Raw genomic sequence first — 16,428 nt, forward strand, 5'->3', positions numbered from 1 at the left:
AAATGTGGCACATATACACCATGGAATAATATGCAGCCATAAAAAATGGTGAGTTCATGTCATTTATAGGGACATGGATGAAGCTGGAAACCATCATTCTCAGCAAACTATCGCAAGGACAGAAAACCAAACACCGCATGTTCTCACTCATAGGTGGGAATTGAACAATGAGAACACATGGACACAGGAAGGGGAACATCACACACCGGGGACTGTTGTGGGGTGGGGGGAAGGGGAGGGATAGCATTAGGAGATATACTTAATGCTAAATGACGAGTTAATGGGTGCAGCACACCAACACGGCACATGTATGCATATGTAATAAACCTGCACGTTGTGCACATGTACCCTAAAACTTAAAGTATAATAATAATAATAAAAAAAGAAGACATTTAAGCAAAAACTTGAAGGAGGTGATGAAGTTTGGTGAGATCATTATACTACAATCATGGGAGTTATTTTTCATCCATGTTAACATTTTTACCACTTTAATAATAAACAAGATATTCTTATAAATGTACTTTTGTACCATAATCATGAAAAGCTATAAGTCACTAATGTAATGACAAAACAAATTGTGGTACATCCATATGATGGTATATGATGTAGTGATTAAAAATGTTCTCCAAGACTATTAACATAAAAAAAATTAATAAAATGAGTTTTTAGATATGAAAATGTAAAAAAAAAAAAAAAACAGAATTTCTTCATACCAGCATGAGAATGGACTAATACTAGGGAATATCTCTCAATTCATTCTACAAGGCCACTATTACCTTGATACCAAAAGCAGACAACACATAGAAAAAAACTACAGGCCAATATTCTTTATGAAAATTGATGCAAAATTTCTCAGCAAAATACTAGCAAACTGAACTGAATAAAATGTTAAAAACATCATTTCTCATGACCAAGTGAGATTTATTCCAGGGATACAAGGATGGCTCAACCTATGCAAATCAGTATAATACATGATATCAACAGAATGAAGGACAAAAAATGTATGAACATTTTAATTGATGTTGAAGAAGAATTTGATAAAATTCAACATCCCTTTATGATAAAAACACACTAATTTGTATATAGAAGAAAGATACCTCAACTCAAGAAAAGCCATATATGACAAATCCACAGGTAGTATACTGAATGGAGAAAAACTGAAAGCCTTTTCTCTAAGATCTGGAACAAGTCAAAGATGCCCTCTTTCATGACTGGTACTCAAAATAGTACTGACAGTCCTAGCTAGAGCAATCAGACAAAAGAAAGAAATAAAGGGAAAAAAAATCAAATTTTTTGTGTTTGCAGATAATATGTTCTTACAATTGGAAAACCCTAAAGACTCCATCAAAAAAAAACTAGACCTCATAAATAAATACAGTAAAGTTTCAGGATACAAAATAATCTTACAAAACTCAGTAGCATTTCTGTATGCCAACAGTGAACAATCTGAAAAAAAAATCAAGAAAGTAACACCATTTCCAATAGCTACAAATAAAATAAAATGAAATACCTAGAAATAAACTTAATCAGAGAAATGAAATACCTCTGCAATGAAAACTATAAAACATTGATGAAAGAAATTGAAGATGATGACAAAAAATAGGAAGATGTTCCATACGCATGGACTGAAGGAATTAATATTTTTTAAATGTCCATACTACCTATATTAGTCCATTCTCACACTGCTATGAAGAAATACCCAAGACTGGGTAATTTATAAAGCAAAGAGGTTTAATTGACTCACACCTCTGCATCGCTTGAGGTGCTTCAGGAAACTTAAAATCATGGTCAAAGGCAAAGGAGAAACAAGCACTTTCATTCACAGGGCAGCAGGACAGAGTGAGTGCAAGTACGGGAAATGTCAGACACTTATGGAATCATCAGATCTCATGAGAGTCACTCACCATCACGAGAACAGCATGGGGGGAACCACCCCATGATCTCATTGCCTCCACCTGGTCCCATCCTTGGCACATGCGGATTATGGGCATAGGGGGATCCCACCCCCAATATTTCAATGTAGGTTCTTTCCATTTTCCCTAAGTGTCAGCTGGTATGAGAAATAAAGAAAAAGAGTACAAAGAGAGGAATTTTACAGCTGGGCTGCCAGGGGTGACATCATATATCGGTAGGTCCGTGATGCCCAGCTGAACCACAAAACCAGCAAGTTTTTATTAGGGATTTCAAAAGGGGAGTAGGTGTATGAACAGGGAGTGGGTCACAAAGATCACATGCTTTAAGGGGCAAAAAGGAAAACAAAGATCACATGCTTCTTAGGAAACAGGACCAGGGCAAAATCAGAAACTCCTGATAAGGGTCTATGTTCAGCGGTGCACGTATTGTCTTGATAAACATCTTAACAGAAAACAGGGTTCGAGAGCAGAGAACCAGTCTGACCTCAAATTTACCAGGGCTGTGGTTTCCCAATCCTAGTAAGCCTGAGGGTACTGCAGGAAACCAGGGCATATCTCAGTCCTCATCTCAACCACATAGGACAGACACTCCCAGAGCAACTGTTTATAGACATCCCCCCAGCAATGCAATTCTTTTCCTAGGGTCTTAATATTATATTTCTTGCTAGGAAAAGAATTTAGCGATATCTCTCCTACTTGCACGTCTGTTTATAGGCTCTCTGCAAGAAGAAACATATGGCTCTTTTTGCCCGACCCCGCAGGCAATCAGACCTTAATGGTTGTCTTCTCTTGTTCCCTAAAATTGCTGTTATTCTGTCCATTTTCAAGGTGCACTGATTTCATATTGTTCAAACACACATGTTTTACAATCATTTTGTACAGTTACAGTCATCACAGGGTCCTGAGGTGATGTACATCCTCAGCTTACAAAGATAACAGGATTAAGAGATTAAAGTAAGACAGGCATAAGAAAGTGTAAGAGTATTATTAGGGAAGGGATAAATGTCCATGAAATCTTCACAATTTATGTTTCCTCTGCTACGGCTCCAGCCGGTCCCTCCATTCATGGTCCCTGACTTCCCGCAACAATGGGGATTATAATTCAAGATGAGATTTTATGTGGGCACACAGTCAACCATATCACTACCCAAAGCAATACGAACAATCTATTGATTGTAATTCCTATCAAAATACCAAAGACATTTTTCAAAGAAATATAAAAAATAGTACTAAAATTTATATGGAACCACAAAAGAATACCAAACCTATCCTGAGCAAAAGGAACAAAACTGGAGGAATCATATTACCTGCCTTCAAATTATTGTACACAGCCATAGTAACCATAACAGCACGGTACTGGCATAAAAACAGACACATATACCAATGGAACAGAATAGAGAACCTAGATATAAATCCATAAATCTACAGTGAACTCATTTTTGACAAAGATGCCAAGAGCATACATTGGGGAAACAACAATTTCTTCAATAAAACCTGCTGGGAAAGCTGGATATCTGCATCCAGAAGAATGAAACTAGATCCTTATTGTTCACCATATCAAAATGAATTAAAGACAAATCTAATTGTCTTTAATGGCAAAGACTTTAAACTATAAAACTACTACAAGAAAACATTGGGGAACATCTCCAGGAAATTGGACCAGGCAAAGATTTCTTGAGTAATGCCCCACAAACACAGGCAACCAAAGCAAAAATGGACAAATGGGATCACACTAAGTTAAAAAACTTCTGCATGGCAAAGGAAATACCAACAAAGTGATGAGGCAACCCACAGAATTGAACAAAATATTTGCCAACTATTCATCTGACAAGGGCCTAGTAATCAGAATACATGAGTGCAAATAATCAATAAAAAGTCAATAATTTAATTAAAAAATGAGAAAAAATCTCAAAAGACATTTCTAAAAGGGAGACATGAAATGGCAAACAGCTATTTAAAAATATGTTCAACATCAGTGATAGAGAAATGCCAATCAAAACTACAATGATATATCATTTCGCCCCAGTTAAAATTGCTTTTATCCAAAGGACAGGCAATAATAAATCCTGATGAGGATGTGGAGAAAAGGGAGCCCTTATACACTGTTGGTGGGAATGTAAATTAGTACCACAACTGTGAAGAACAATTTGGAGCTTCCTCCAAAAAAGTAAAAATAGAGCTAAAATATGGTCCAGAAATTTCACTGTTAGCTATATGCACAAAAGAAAGGATATCAGTATATTAAAGAGATATCTGCACTCCTAAGCACAGAAAGAAAAACTTCACATGTTCTCACTTACTGGTGGGAGATTAAAAAAATATTGAACTCATGGAAATAGAGAATAGAATGATAGTTACCAGAGGCTGAGAAGTGTAGTGGGATTACTTAATGGTTACAGAAATATGATTAGAATTAGAGAGATCTAGTATTTGATATCACAACAGGGGTGACTAGAGTCAACAATCATTTAATGTACATTTTACATTAACTTAAAGAGTATAATTGGACTGTTTGTAATACAAAGAAAGGATAAATGCTTGAGGTGAAGAATACCCCATTACCACATTATGCATTGTGTGACTATATCAAAACATTTTCTGTACCCCATAAATATATACACCTACTATTAACTACAAAAATTCAAAATAAAAAAATTAAAAACAAACAAGTGAATAGAAAACCTGGTATATCCACACAATGGTATACTGCTCAGCAATAAATGGTAATGGACTATTCACATGTATAACAGTATGAATAAATTTCAAACTCACTATACTAAGTGAAAGTAGCCAGACACAGAAAGGGTATACACTATGTGTTTCTATTTATACTGACAGTAGATAGTGTTTTCCTGGTACTTGGGGGATGGGGAGAAATGGCAGGAAGGAATTAGAAAAAAGCAAAAAGAAACTTTGAGGTGATATAGTTTGGATATTTGTCCCCACCAAAATCTCATGTGGAAATGTAATCCCCAATGTTGAAAGTGGGGCCTGGTGAAATGTGTTTGGATCATGAGGGCAAGTCCCTCATGAATGGCTTCTGCTATCCCCTTTGTGATAAGTGAGCTTTTTCTTTGAGTTCACATGAGATCTGATGGTTTAAAAGCATGTGGCACCTTCCACCCACTCTTTCTTTCTTGCTCCTGCTTTCACAGTGTGAAGTGACTGCTCCTGCTTTATCTTCTGCAATGATTGTAAGCTTCTCAAGGCCTCCCCAAAAGCTGGGCAGATGTTGGCACACATGCTTCCTGTAAAGCCTGCAGAACCATTAGCCAATCAGAAATCTTTTCTTTATTAATTACCCAGTCTCAGGTATTTCTTTGTTGCAATTCAAGAACAGCCTATGGGTGAATCATGAGGTCAAGAGATCAAGACCATCCTGACCAACATGGTGAAACCCTGTCTCTACTAAAAATACAAAAAATTATCCAGGCATGGTAGCAGATGCCTGTAGTCCCAGCTACTCAGGAGGCTGAGGCAGGAGAATGGTGTGAACCCAGGAGGCGGAGCTTGCAGTGAGCCAACATTGCACCACTGCACTCCAGCCTAGGTGACAGAGCAAGACTCCATCTCAAAAAAAAAAAAAAAAAAAAAAAAGAACAGCCTAAATATAGATAACTGGTACCAGGGATTTGGATATTGCCATAAAGACACTTGAAAATGTGGAAGGGACTTTGGAACTGGGTAAGAGGCAGGAATTGGAAGAGTTTGGAGGGCTCAAAAGAAGACAGGAAGATAAGGAAAAGTCTGGAAAGTCTAAGAGGCTGGTTAAATGGTTGTGACTAATGTGAACACAGTGATATGGACAGTGAAGTCCAGGCCGACAAGCTCTTAGATGGAAATGAGGACTTACTGGGAACTGGAACAAAGGTTATGCATGTTATGCCTTAGCCAAGAGCTTGGCTACGTTCTGTTCATGCCCTAGAAATCTAGGGAAGCTTCTAGTGGAAGTTTGAACTAAAAAAGCAATGATTTAGGGTATCTGGCAGAAGAAATGTCTAAGCAGCAAAGTGTTCAAGATGTGGTCTGGCTGCTTCTAACAGCCTATCTTAATGTAGAAGTAAATAAATGACTTGAAGTATATATTTAAAAGGTAAGCAGAACATAAAAGTTTGGAAAATTTTCAGGCTGGCCGTATGGAAGAGAAAGAAAAAGCTTTTGGGGGAAGAAGATTCAAGCAGGGTGCAGAGCAATCACTTGCTAGAGATATTTGCATAAATAAAAGGAATCCAATTGCTAATATCCCAGACAATGTGGAAAAGACCTTAAAGACATTTCAGAGACCTTTAAGGCAGCCACTTCTATCACAGAACCAGATACCTGGAAAAACAGAATGGTTTTACAGGTCAGGCACAGGACCCCACTGCCGTGAACAGCCTCAGGACACTGCTTCCCACATCCTGGCTGCTTCAGCTCCAGCTGTAGCTCAAAGTGGCCAAGGTACAGCTCAGTCTACCACATTGGAAACTGCAAGCCATAAGCCTTGGTGGCTTCCACATGGTGTTAAACCTGTTAGTGGACAGAATGCAAGAGCAAAGAATGCTTGGCAGCCTCCCCCTAGATTTCAGAGGATGCATGGAAAAACCTGGGTGTCCAGGCAGAGACCTGCTGCAGAATGGAGCCCTCATAGAGAACCTCTACTAGGGCAATCCCAAGAAAGAATGTAGGGTTGGAGACCCCATAGAGAGTCGCCACTGTGGCACTGCCTTGGAACTGTTGAGGTGGGAACCACTGCCCTCCAGACACTGGAGTGGTAGAGCCACCAGCAGCTTGCAACCTCAACGTGGAAAAGCCACAGAGGCTGATCTGTCCAAGGTTTTGAGGGCTCAAATCTTGCAGCAGTGTTCCCTGGATGCAGCATACAGAGTCAAAGATTATTTTGGAGCATTAAGATTTAACGACTGTCAACATAGTGTTGGAAGTTCTGGCCAAGGCAATCAGGCAGGAGAAGGAAATAAAGGGTATTCAATTAGGAAAAGAGGAAGTCAAATTGTCCCTGTTTGCAGATGACATGATTGTATATCTAGAAAACCCAATTTACTCAGCCTAAAATCTCCTTAAGCTGATAAGCAACTTCAGCAAAGTCTCAGGATACAAAATCAATGTGCAAAAATCACAAGCATTCTTATACACCAACAACAGACAAACAGAGAGCCAAATCATGAGTGAACTCCCTTTCACAATTGCTTCAAAGAGAATAAAATACCTAGGAATCCAGCTTACAAGGGACATGAAGGACCTCTTCAAGGAGAATTACAAACCACTGCTCAATGAAATAAAAGAGGATACAAGCAAATGGAAGAACATTCCAAGCTCATGGGTAGGAAGAATCAATATCATGAAAATGGCCATACTGTCCAAGGTAATTTATAGACTCAGTGCCATCCCCATCAAGCTACCAATGACTTTCTTCAAAGAATTGGAAAAAAACTACTTTAAAGTTCCTATGGAACCAAAAAAGAGCCCGCATCGCCAAGTCAATCCTAAGCCAAAAGAACAAAGCTGGAGGCATCACACTACCTGACTTCAAGCTATACTTCAAGGCTACAGCAACCAAAACAGCATGATACTGGTACCAAAACGGAGATATAGACCAATGGAATGGAACAGAGCCCTCAGAAATAATGCCACATATGTACAACTATTTGATCTTTGACAAACCTGACAAAAACAAGAAATGGGGAAAGGATTCCCTATTTAATAAATGGTGCTGGGAAAACTGGCTAGCCATATGTAGAAAGCTGAAACTGGATCCCTTCCTTACACCTTATACAAAAATTAATTCGAGATGGATTAAAGACTTAAATGTTAGACCTAAAACCATAAAAACCCTAGAAGAAAACCTGGGCAATACCATTCAGGACACAGGCATGAGCAAGGACTTCATGTCTAAAACACCAAAAGCAATGGCAACAAAAGCCAAAATTGACAAATGAGATCTCATTAAACTAGAGAGCTTCTGCACAGCAAAAGAAACTACCATCAGAGTGAACAGGCAACCTACAGAATGGGAGAACATTTTTGCAATCTACCCATCTGACAAAGGGCTAATATCCAGAATCTACAATGAACTCAAACAAATTTACAAGAAAAAACAAACAACCCCATCAACAAGTGGGCAAAGGATATGAACAGACACTTCTCAAAAGAAGACATTTATGCAGCCAAAAGACACATGAAAAAATGCTCATCATCACTGGCTATCAGAGAAATGCAAATCAAAACCACAATGAGATACCATCTCACACCAGTTAGAATGGTGATCATTAAAAAGTCAGGAAACAACAGGTGCTGGAGAGGATGTGGAGAAATAGGAACACTTTTACACTGTTGGTGGGACTGTAAACTAGTTCAACCATTGTGGAAGTCAGTGTGGCAATTCCTCAGGGATCTAGAACTAGAAATACCATTTGACCCAGCCATCCCATTGCTGGGTATACACCCAAAGGTTTATAAATCATGCTGCTATAAAGACACATGCACACATATGTTTATTGCAGCACTGTTCACAATAGCAAAGATTTGGAACCAACCCAAATGCCCATCAATGATAGACTTGGTAAAGAAAATGTGGCACATATAAACCATGGAATACCATGCAGCCATAAAAAACGATGAGTTCATGTCCTTTGTAGGGACATGGATGAAGCTGGAAACCATCATTCTCAGCAAACTATCGCAAGGACAAAAAACCAAACACCGCATGTTCTCACTCATAGGTGGGAATTGAACAATGAGAACACATGGACACAGGAAGGGGAACATCACACACCGGGGCCTGTTGTGGGGTACGGGGAGGGGGGAGGGATAGCCTTAGAGATATACCTAATGTTAAATGATGAGTTAATGGGTGCAGCAAACCAACGTGGCACATGTATATATATGTAGCAAACCTGCACGTTGTGCACATGTACCCTAAAACTTAAAGTATAATAAAAATAAATAAATAAAAAATAAAAAAAGATTTAATAATTGTCCTGCTGTGTTTTGAACTTATGTGAGACCTGTAACCCCTTTCTTTTGGCTGATTTCTCCCTTTTGAAATGGCAAGGTTTACCCAATGCCTATACCCCCATTGTATCTTGGAAGTAAATAACTTATTTTTTATTTTACAGGCTAATAGATGGAAGAGACTTGCCTTCTCTCAGATGAGCCTTTGGGCGTTGGACTTCTGAGTTAATCCTGGAATGAGTTAAGACTTTGGGGGACTATTAGGAACGCATGATTATATTTTGCAATGTGAGAAGAACAGGAGATTCAGTGGGTGGGCAGAGGCAGAATGATATAGTTTGGATATTTCTCCCTGCCCAAATCTCATGTTGAAATGCCATCTCCAGTGTTGGAGGTGGGGCCTAGTGGGAGGTGTTTGAATCATGGGGGGAAGATCCCTCAAGAATGGCTTGGGCCATCCCCTTGGTGATAGGTAAGCTCTCCTTCTAAGCTCCTGGTTTTTTAAAAGTTTGTGGCACCTCCCCCCGACACACACACACTCTGTGTCTCTCTTGCTCCCGTTCTTGCTATGTGAAACACCTACTCTCCCACTTCACATTTTGCCATAAGTAAATCTCTCTGAAACCTCCCCTGAAGTAGATGCTGGCACTATGCTTCTGGTACAGCCTGCAGAACCATGAGCCAATTAAACATCTTTTCTTATAAATTACTCAGTCTCGTGTATTCCTTTATAGCAATGCAAGAACGGCCTAATACAGGGGGTGATAGATACATTCATTATCTTTATTACAATGATGATTTTATGGGTGTTTACACATGTCAAGACTACAAATTATACACTACAAGTATGTTTAGTTTTTATATGTCATTAATTATATCTATAAAACTGTTAAAAATGTTGCTAATTAGTCATGTATTACGGGAAACTTCAACTAGTTCTCACATCTGCCAAAGTATTTTTTTAACGAATGATTCTTTGTTTCTGTGCTCAAAGTTTATTTACAGTAATAATTTACTGATAATTTATTGATCACAACATAGTTAGCCTGTGTTTTTTTGAATTCATATCAAAACTACAATTTCTTATTATAATCCAAAAATCACAAAGAAAGAGATGATAAACTTTGAGTTTGAGCAAAGTAACTCATTACAGTGTGGTCAAAAGGATTTGATAATTTTTCACATTTGTTAATATCTGCTCCTTAATCTCAATGTCCATGGTCAATCTAGACTGTATAAACTGCTGAGTTTCAAAATGTCTTTAGATACATGTTTCTCCGTCAGTGTCACTAATGCTCTCACCTACTCACTCTAAAATGTATTTGTTCCTTGATTATTCTCTAACAGCATGTTTGCTTATGTAGTCAGAACTGCATTCCTCTAAATACTGAACAGTATGCCTCCTGGTTAGTGATATGCAGTCATTAAGTGATGAAGGTGTTAGCATCATACAGAATTGTAAGTGAATCTCAGTTTTGTCTCTTCTTAAAAAGTTTATTTGTGGCCTTAAACTAACGTCTTTAAATTTCAGTTTCATCATTTTATTTTTTATTTTCTTAGAGATGAGATCTTGCTCTGTTGTCCAGGCTTGTTTCAAACTCCTAACCTCAAGAGATCCACCTGCTTCAGCCTCCCAAGTAGCTGGGATTACAAGTAGAAGCCACCGTGCCTGGCTCCCATCTTTTTTAACATAGTATAACTGAACTGAATTTATAGAGTTTTGATTGTGGTGACATATGGAAAGCAATTTCACACAGTGCCTGAGACATGGTAAATTTTCAAAAAGTGAATGTTTATAAAAGTTATTATCCTTATGTTTGACCTATAATTGAAGTCAGATGTTAGAAGACATGGCATGATATACAATCTTACAACCAAAAAAAAATTTTGAATATCTAAAATCATGCCACAATCTCGGTAGCTTACACTTCTTGTTTTTTTTTCCCCCTTAGGATTTCCTAATCAAATAAGCTTGCACATTAAAATATACACTGATGAAAATGTTATATTTATAGAACAAAGTTTTAAACTTCAAAATTGGAAGTAAAGATTACACAGTATACATACCGTCAACTCAGCATTCCCCAAAGTGTACTTGGTGAAAATATAATCCTGCAAAATGCCCTTTGAAAAAAACTAGTCCTGTGGTCAAATAAACATGGAGAATATTGCACACTGTATGTTTCTTTGGGGGATTCACAAAACAAATAGTATCGTAAAGAGTCTTAGAAGTCTTGCAGTTAAAAACAACAACAAAAAAAGTGTTTCACTTTATTTGACCTTATGTTTTTCAAACTTACCTGAATAAAGAACTCCTTTTTCATATAACATCAATGTATATTCCTCTTTGGGAAGAGTTTCCTTGACTCTTATTTCTTAATTCTTCTTTTCTGTTAAGAGACATAATGAGTGAAAATCCTACTTTCACCTGCCAATAGTCCCTGGTCTTGTAAACAGATTGTCAGGGTTTGATAGTAAAGTCCTTATAGCTTCCATCCCACTGGCAGCTGTCAGCTATCTCAGTGTCTTCCTTGCTTGGCTACCAACATAATTCCCCAGAGGTGTCTATCTCTCTCATTCTTCTCAGTTCTAAGCAACTGGACAGGAATCACAATAGAAAGAAGAATCTAGTATCACCCGTATCTGCACAAAAACAATAAGAATTGAATTAATTTATATGTTCTAATCAGGAGAGAATTATTCTCTCCTTTTTAAACTAATTTATCTAAATTTCTACTTCTTTAATGAACAATAACTTGAAATTTGCAAAACCCAGTTTAAGTGCATTACTGAAAATTACTATAGTAGTTATATCAGTTATTTTTTGTCATGTAAATGCTATGTATCAAACCACCCAAGAGCTTAGAGCCTAAAAACACTTAAGTATGTACAACCGATCCCAGATTTTTGAATGAGCTGGTGCTATAGACTAAATGTTTATGTTTCCCCAAAATTCATATGTTGAAATCCTAACTCCAAATGTGATGGTATTAGAAGATGGAAACTTTGACAGGTAATTAGGTCATAAAAGTGGAGCCCTCATCAATGGGATTAGGACCCTTATGAAAGTAGCCCCAGAGAGCTCCTTTGCCCTTTCCACCATGTGAGGATGCAGAGGAGCAGGCTGTCTGTGAACCAGGAAGCAGGCTGTCACCAAACACAAACTCTGCTGCTGCCTTGACCTTGGATTCCCCAGGTTCTGGAACTGTGAGGAATTAACTTCCATTGTTTGTAAGCCACCCAGTCTAGAGTATTTTGTTATAGCAGCCCAATCATGCCAAGACAGCAGCAGTTTTGACCTCTTATAGGCTCACTCACAGACCTACTATCAGCTATAAATTAGGTAAATCATTCTTCTAATTTTGGTTGATGAAATGTTTGCTGGATGCTGGGTATTGCCTGGTCTAGCCCTTCTTTATGTATGTCATATCCTTCCTGCAATAGCCCAGAATGGTCTCATAGTGGAACAGAGGTCTGAGAGAGAGGAAAAAGGTAAAAGTGTGCAAAGCATCTTTACAGCTAGGCTAAGAACTGGCTCGCAGTCATTTATGCTATATTTTGTTTCAAAACAAAGTCACAAGGTCTATCAAGATTCAAACAATAGTGAAATTCACTCTTTCTCTTCATAAGTGGAGCTCAAAGTCATATTGCAAAGAATATGGATTCAGTGACGGATAAAGAATTGAGGGCCACATTTGCCATCAATCTACTATCATCTCGTTTTCTGTCTGGCTCCAATTTTATACCATTCCCATATAGAAATCATACTCACCTTCTCCCAAGGAACCCAAAATTCCCTTTCAGTTATAATGTTCTCAAAATTCAGCATCTTTTGGTCTATATCAGGTCCACATAAGACTATTCAGATGTGGCTCATTTTGATTCAGAGATTGATAAGGTTAAAAATAAAAATAGTTATTTGTGCCCCACAATCACTGCCAAGCATACAATGATGAGACAAAGACAGGAAAGTTGTATTAAACAGTACCTCCATTTAAAAAGCCAAAGATGGGAAATACATAGAACTCTGGATGTTAACAGTTCTGAAAACCAACTGGGCAAATGTTTCTAGGTGTCCTGACACTTGGGAGAACAGACCAGTCACAGATTTGGCCTCCATTCTGCTCCCTTGGACAGGCGCCGCAGTCCATTATTTTCCATAATTTCACCATCTGAGAACTTCCTTTTCCAACTTTCTCCTCCCCCATTTTAAAAGGCTAGGGAAAGTTATGTCCTATAAATTTTTTTTTTTTTTTAGCCAACTTTCTGGTCATAGAACGATGGGGACTCAGAAGCCTTTTGCATTTTGAACAATCTCAATACCTGTGAGGCCAGAATGATGGCACTTTTGCCTACACGGCCCCTTAAAACTGTTGTAGGCTTTCAGGTAATTTGAATTAATTTATCCACTCCACTCAATAAATTATTTTTAATCACATTCATTTGAAGCATATTAAATATCTATGGGAGACACTCTGTTCCTAGCAGTCCTTTTGTCTGCCTGTGAGGGCCTGCTAAGCACTTTCAATTTTTCCATAGGGTTTACCAAGGGATCGTAAGCAATGTTGATGATTTAATCTATGCCCCCAGGTTATACAGACAGTCCTGACTTAGGATGGTTCAACTTACAATGATTTCATTAAGTAGAAACCATACTTCAAGTATCCTTATAACCATTCTGTTTACTTTCAGTACAGTATACAATACATTACATGAGATAGTACAACACTTTATTATAAAATAGACTTTGTGTTAGATGATTTTGCTCAACTGTAGGTTAATGAAAGTGCTTTGAACACATTTGAGGTAGGCAAGACTAAGCTATTATGTTCAATAGTAGGTGTATTCAACGCATTTTTAACTTACGGTATTTTCAACTTGGAATGAGTTTAAGGGGGTGCAACTCTATCATACGTTGAGGAGCATCTAGCACTTTAATAAGCTTCTCCTGACTAGAGAGACTAGAGATAAGAAACTGCTTTATTTTGTAGCCCACAGGTCTGGCCCTCTCATCTACCCATAAAGTCCTGCTTGGAAAGTGGCCAACTTTTTCTTTAGTTCATCACTTTCTTGCTGTCCTACTTGCAATTAAGAAAATCCAACTGACATTTTGAACACTTGCCTAGAGATCTCCTTAGGCAAATCCAAAAGTCATTAGGTACATTTTCCATCTTCCAAGTTACTGCAGGCAAGAGTTTTGTCAATTATTTTGTGATGGCATTACATGCATAATCATTTTTCCAGGCTCTGATTACACTTTCTTTATCATGTTTCAAGTCTTTGTTAACAGTTTGCAACTTTTTCCAATCCCCACTTGTAACCAGTTGCAAAACCAGTGCCACATATTTCAAGTTTCTCTTGAACTAAAAAGACAAGTTATGTGTTAGCACCTTATATTATCAATCTCTATTACTTTTTATTACCACAAATAAAAATCTTAATAAACCACCCCTACACTCAATGGCTTAAAACCATACTGATATATTATTGCTCACAAAGTTTTGCATAGGATAGATGGCTCTTTGGTTTTGATTGTGCTAAGTCTGCAGTGCACTGTGGGTCAGATTGGAAGAGGCTGGGCTGATCTTGATGGGCTCTCTCAAACATGTGGGTGTGGCTGACTGTTGGCTACACTTGTCCATGTGCTTTTCACATCTTCCGAAGTTCTAATCTAGGCACGTTCTCATGGCAAAGCCATAGTACAAGAAAAAAAAAAAAGGATTCAAAGATTTTGAGTCCCAAGTTTGGAAATAGTACAGTCACCAGTCACCTCTGTTTGCTAAACTTAGTCACAAGACCAGCTCAGATTTGACAGACGACAAATGGGAAGAGCTTCAAAGACAGATGGTAAAGGCTGTTGATAAAGAAGGCTGTGGAAAATTAAGTCAATTTTTACAATCAGTCTACCACACAGGTGAACAGAGCTTTGGTATCTCTTTTCTGATGTTCATGCTTTATCAGAACAGCTAAGTATCATGATTCTTCCTATTAAAGAAAGATAACCAACCTTGTGTTTAATCTGATCATGAGTGTCATTTACTATACATATAAGAGTAAATATAAAAAAGAGAAGAAAATAAAAATCTACCCACTTTAACTGAAGAAAATTGCTATAATTTGATGCTGTTTTCTTTAAAATGTTCTATATTCATTTGATATAGATCCATATATGTTTGCAAACTTAGTTGATATGTATAGTTAATGCATTCTGCTTTTTTCACTTAACATCATGAACACTCAACCATCATTTAAAAATATGATTAAAACATCCAATGGCTTATTAATAGCTTATGTATATTTAAAACTTCATTACCATTTTTCTAATATTGTATGTCTACAAGTTTTGTCAAGTTGATTTTTACGGCCTGAGAGATAATTTCAAGTCTTTCAATGTTTCAGATTATTTTATTGTTATTCCTACAATCTTTAAAATTTATTTGAATTTTACTCTTTGATATATAGGGATACATGGCAGATCTTCTCATGTAATATAACGCTTTTCATTAAAAAATACAACTCTATCATTATCAATTTTAAAAATTTTTATTCAACCTTTTCTGATATTGAGAATATTTTACATTTTTAAAAGCGTGCTTCATCACAGCATTCTCTGATCATCATTCTAAATTGTCTCCCCTTTTAATCTCTTTTCTAATGCCCAGTTATTTTTCTTTATAAACCAATCACAATTTTAACTACAAATTTTTCTTGGTAAACTATTTCACTTTAATATTTTGTGTAAATACTAAAACAAACTAATGAAAAGCCAACTCTCTTTCTCTGACTCTTTCTAGACACAAGGTAATCAATATCTCTCTTTAGGACAGAATACACGGTACTGATAAATACAATGAGCTAGGAACTGAGTGGCTAGAGAACTTTCAGTCCCAGGTGATAGTGGGAGGTGAACAGAAATCTGTATTGTCTGAAGCTACTGGGTCTACCACTGGGCAAAGTGAAAGGTGGTAAATTATGCACAAGTAGACCATGAAATATATGCAGCAAATAAGAGTCAAATAGTCATGTTGTACAGTTCATAGAGAGTATTTTGAACCTGCTTGTTGTAATTTTTCATTTATTAGATAGCATAGTCTAAAACTATACTTGTTAGTCATATTGTACAGTTCATAGAGAGTATTTTGAACCCGCTTGTTGTAATTTTTCACTTATTAGATAGCGTAGTCTAAAACTATACTTGTTACTTTTTATTCCCACATGTTCTTTTGCTGTAAGATGCAATGAGCTCTACTGAGCTTTGGCAGCAATGAGCTCTAAAAAATGAAAGTACAAGTTTAAAAATTCAGCACCAAAATTCCATTTCTCATGAGATATCATTATTAACATGTAACATTTACAAAATGTTTTTTGACCCTCTCCTCTTAGGGCCATAGTGATACAGGGATACAAAACAGAAAGCACAAATATTAAAGAACCATTTGTTTTTACTTCAAAAGATAATCGCTTTTCATTTTAAAAGTTGAGATGAAAAATGGCAATTTAATGTGTAGTTTCAAAAAGTGTGTTTACTTACTAAAGTAAATGATACTTTATCCTGTGTAGTTTT

The 16,428-nt window shown here is 37.1% G+C and overlaps 3 annotated features.

Annotated features, from left to right (window-relative positions):
• Window positions 1,694-1,863: an enhancer, noted in NCBI's record as "experimental_84311 CRE fragment used in MPRA reporter constructs". NCBI's record gives its function as "activates a minimal promoter by MPRAs in K562 erythroleukemia cells, with activity observed for the non-introgressed 5:30704095 variant allele {active_cell/tissue: K562}" and the evidence as "EXISTENCE:reporter gene assay evidence [ECO:0000049][PMID:34662402]".
• Window positions 10,346-10,515: an enhancer, noted in NCBI's record as "experimental_84325 CRE fragment used in MPRA reporter constructs". NCBI's record gives its function as "activates a minimal promoter by MPRAs in K562 erythroleukemia cells, with activity observed for both the introgressed and non-introgressed 5:30712747 or rs78116128 variant alleles {active_cell/tissue: K562}" and the evidence as "EXISTENCE:reporter gene assay evidence [ECO:0000049][PMID:34662402]".
• Window position 10,431: a transcriptional cis regulatory region, noted in NCBI's record as "Neanderthal adaptively introgressed variant 5:30712747 (GRCh37/hg19 assembly coordinates) or rs78116128 in the experimental_84325 CRE". NCBI's record gives its function as "modulates activity of the experimental_84325 enhancer by MPRAs in K562 erythroleukemia cells {active_cell/tissue: K562}" and the evidence as "EXISTENCE:reporter gene assay evidence [ECO:0000049][PMID:34662402]".

Source organism: Homo sapiens, chromosome 5 (assembly GCF_000001405.40).
Source record: "Homo sapiens chromosome 5, GRCh38.p14 Primary Assembly".
NCBI lineage: Eukaryota > Metazoa > Chordata > Mammalia > Primates > Hominidae > Homo > Homo sapiens.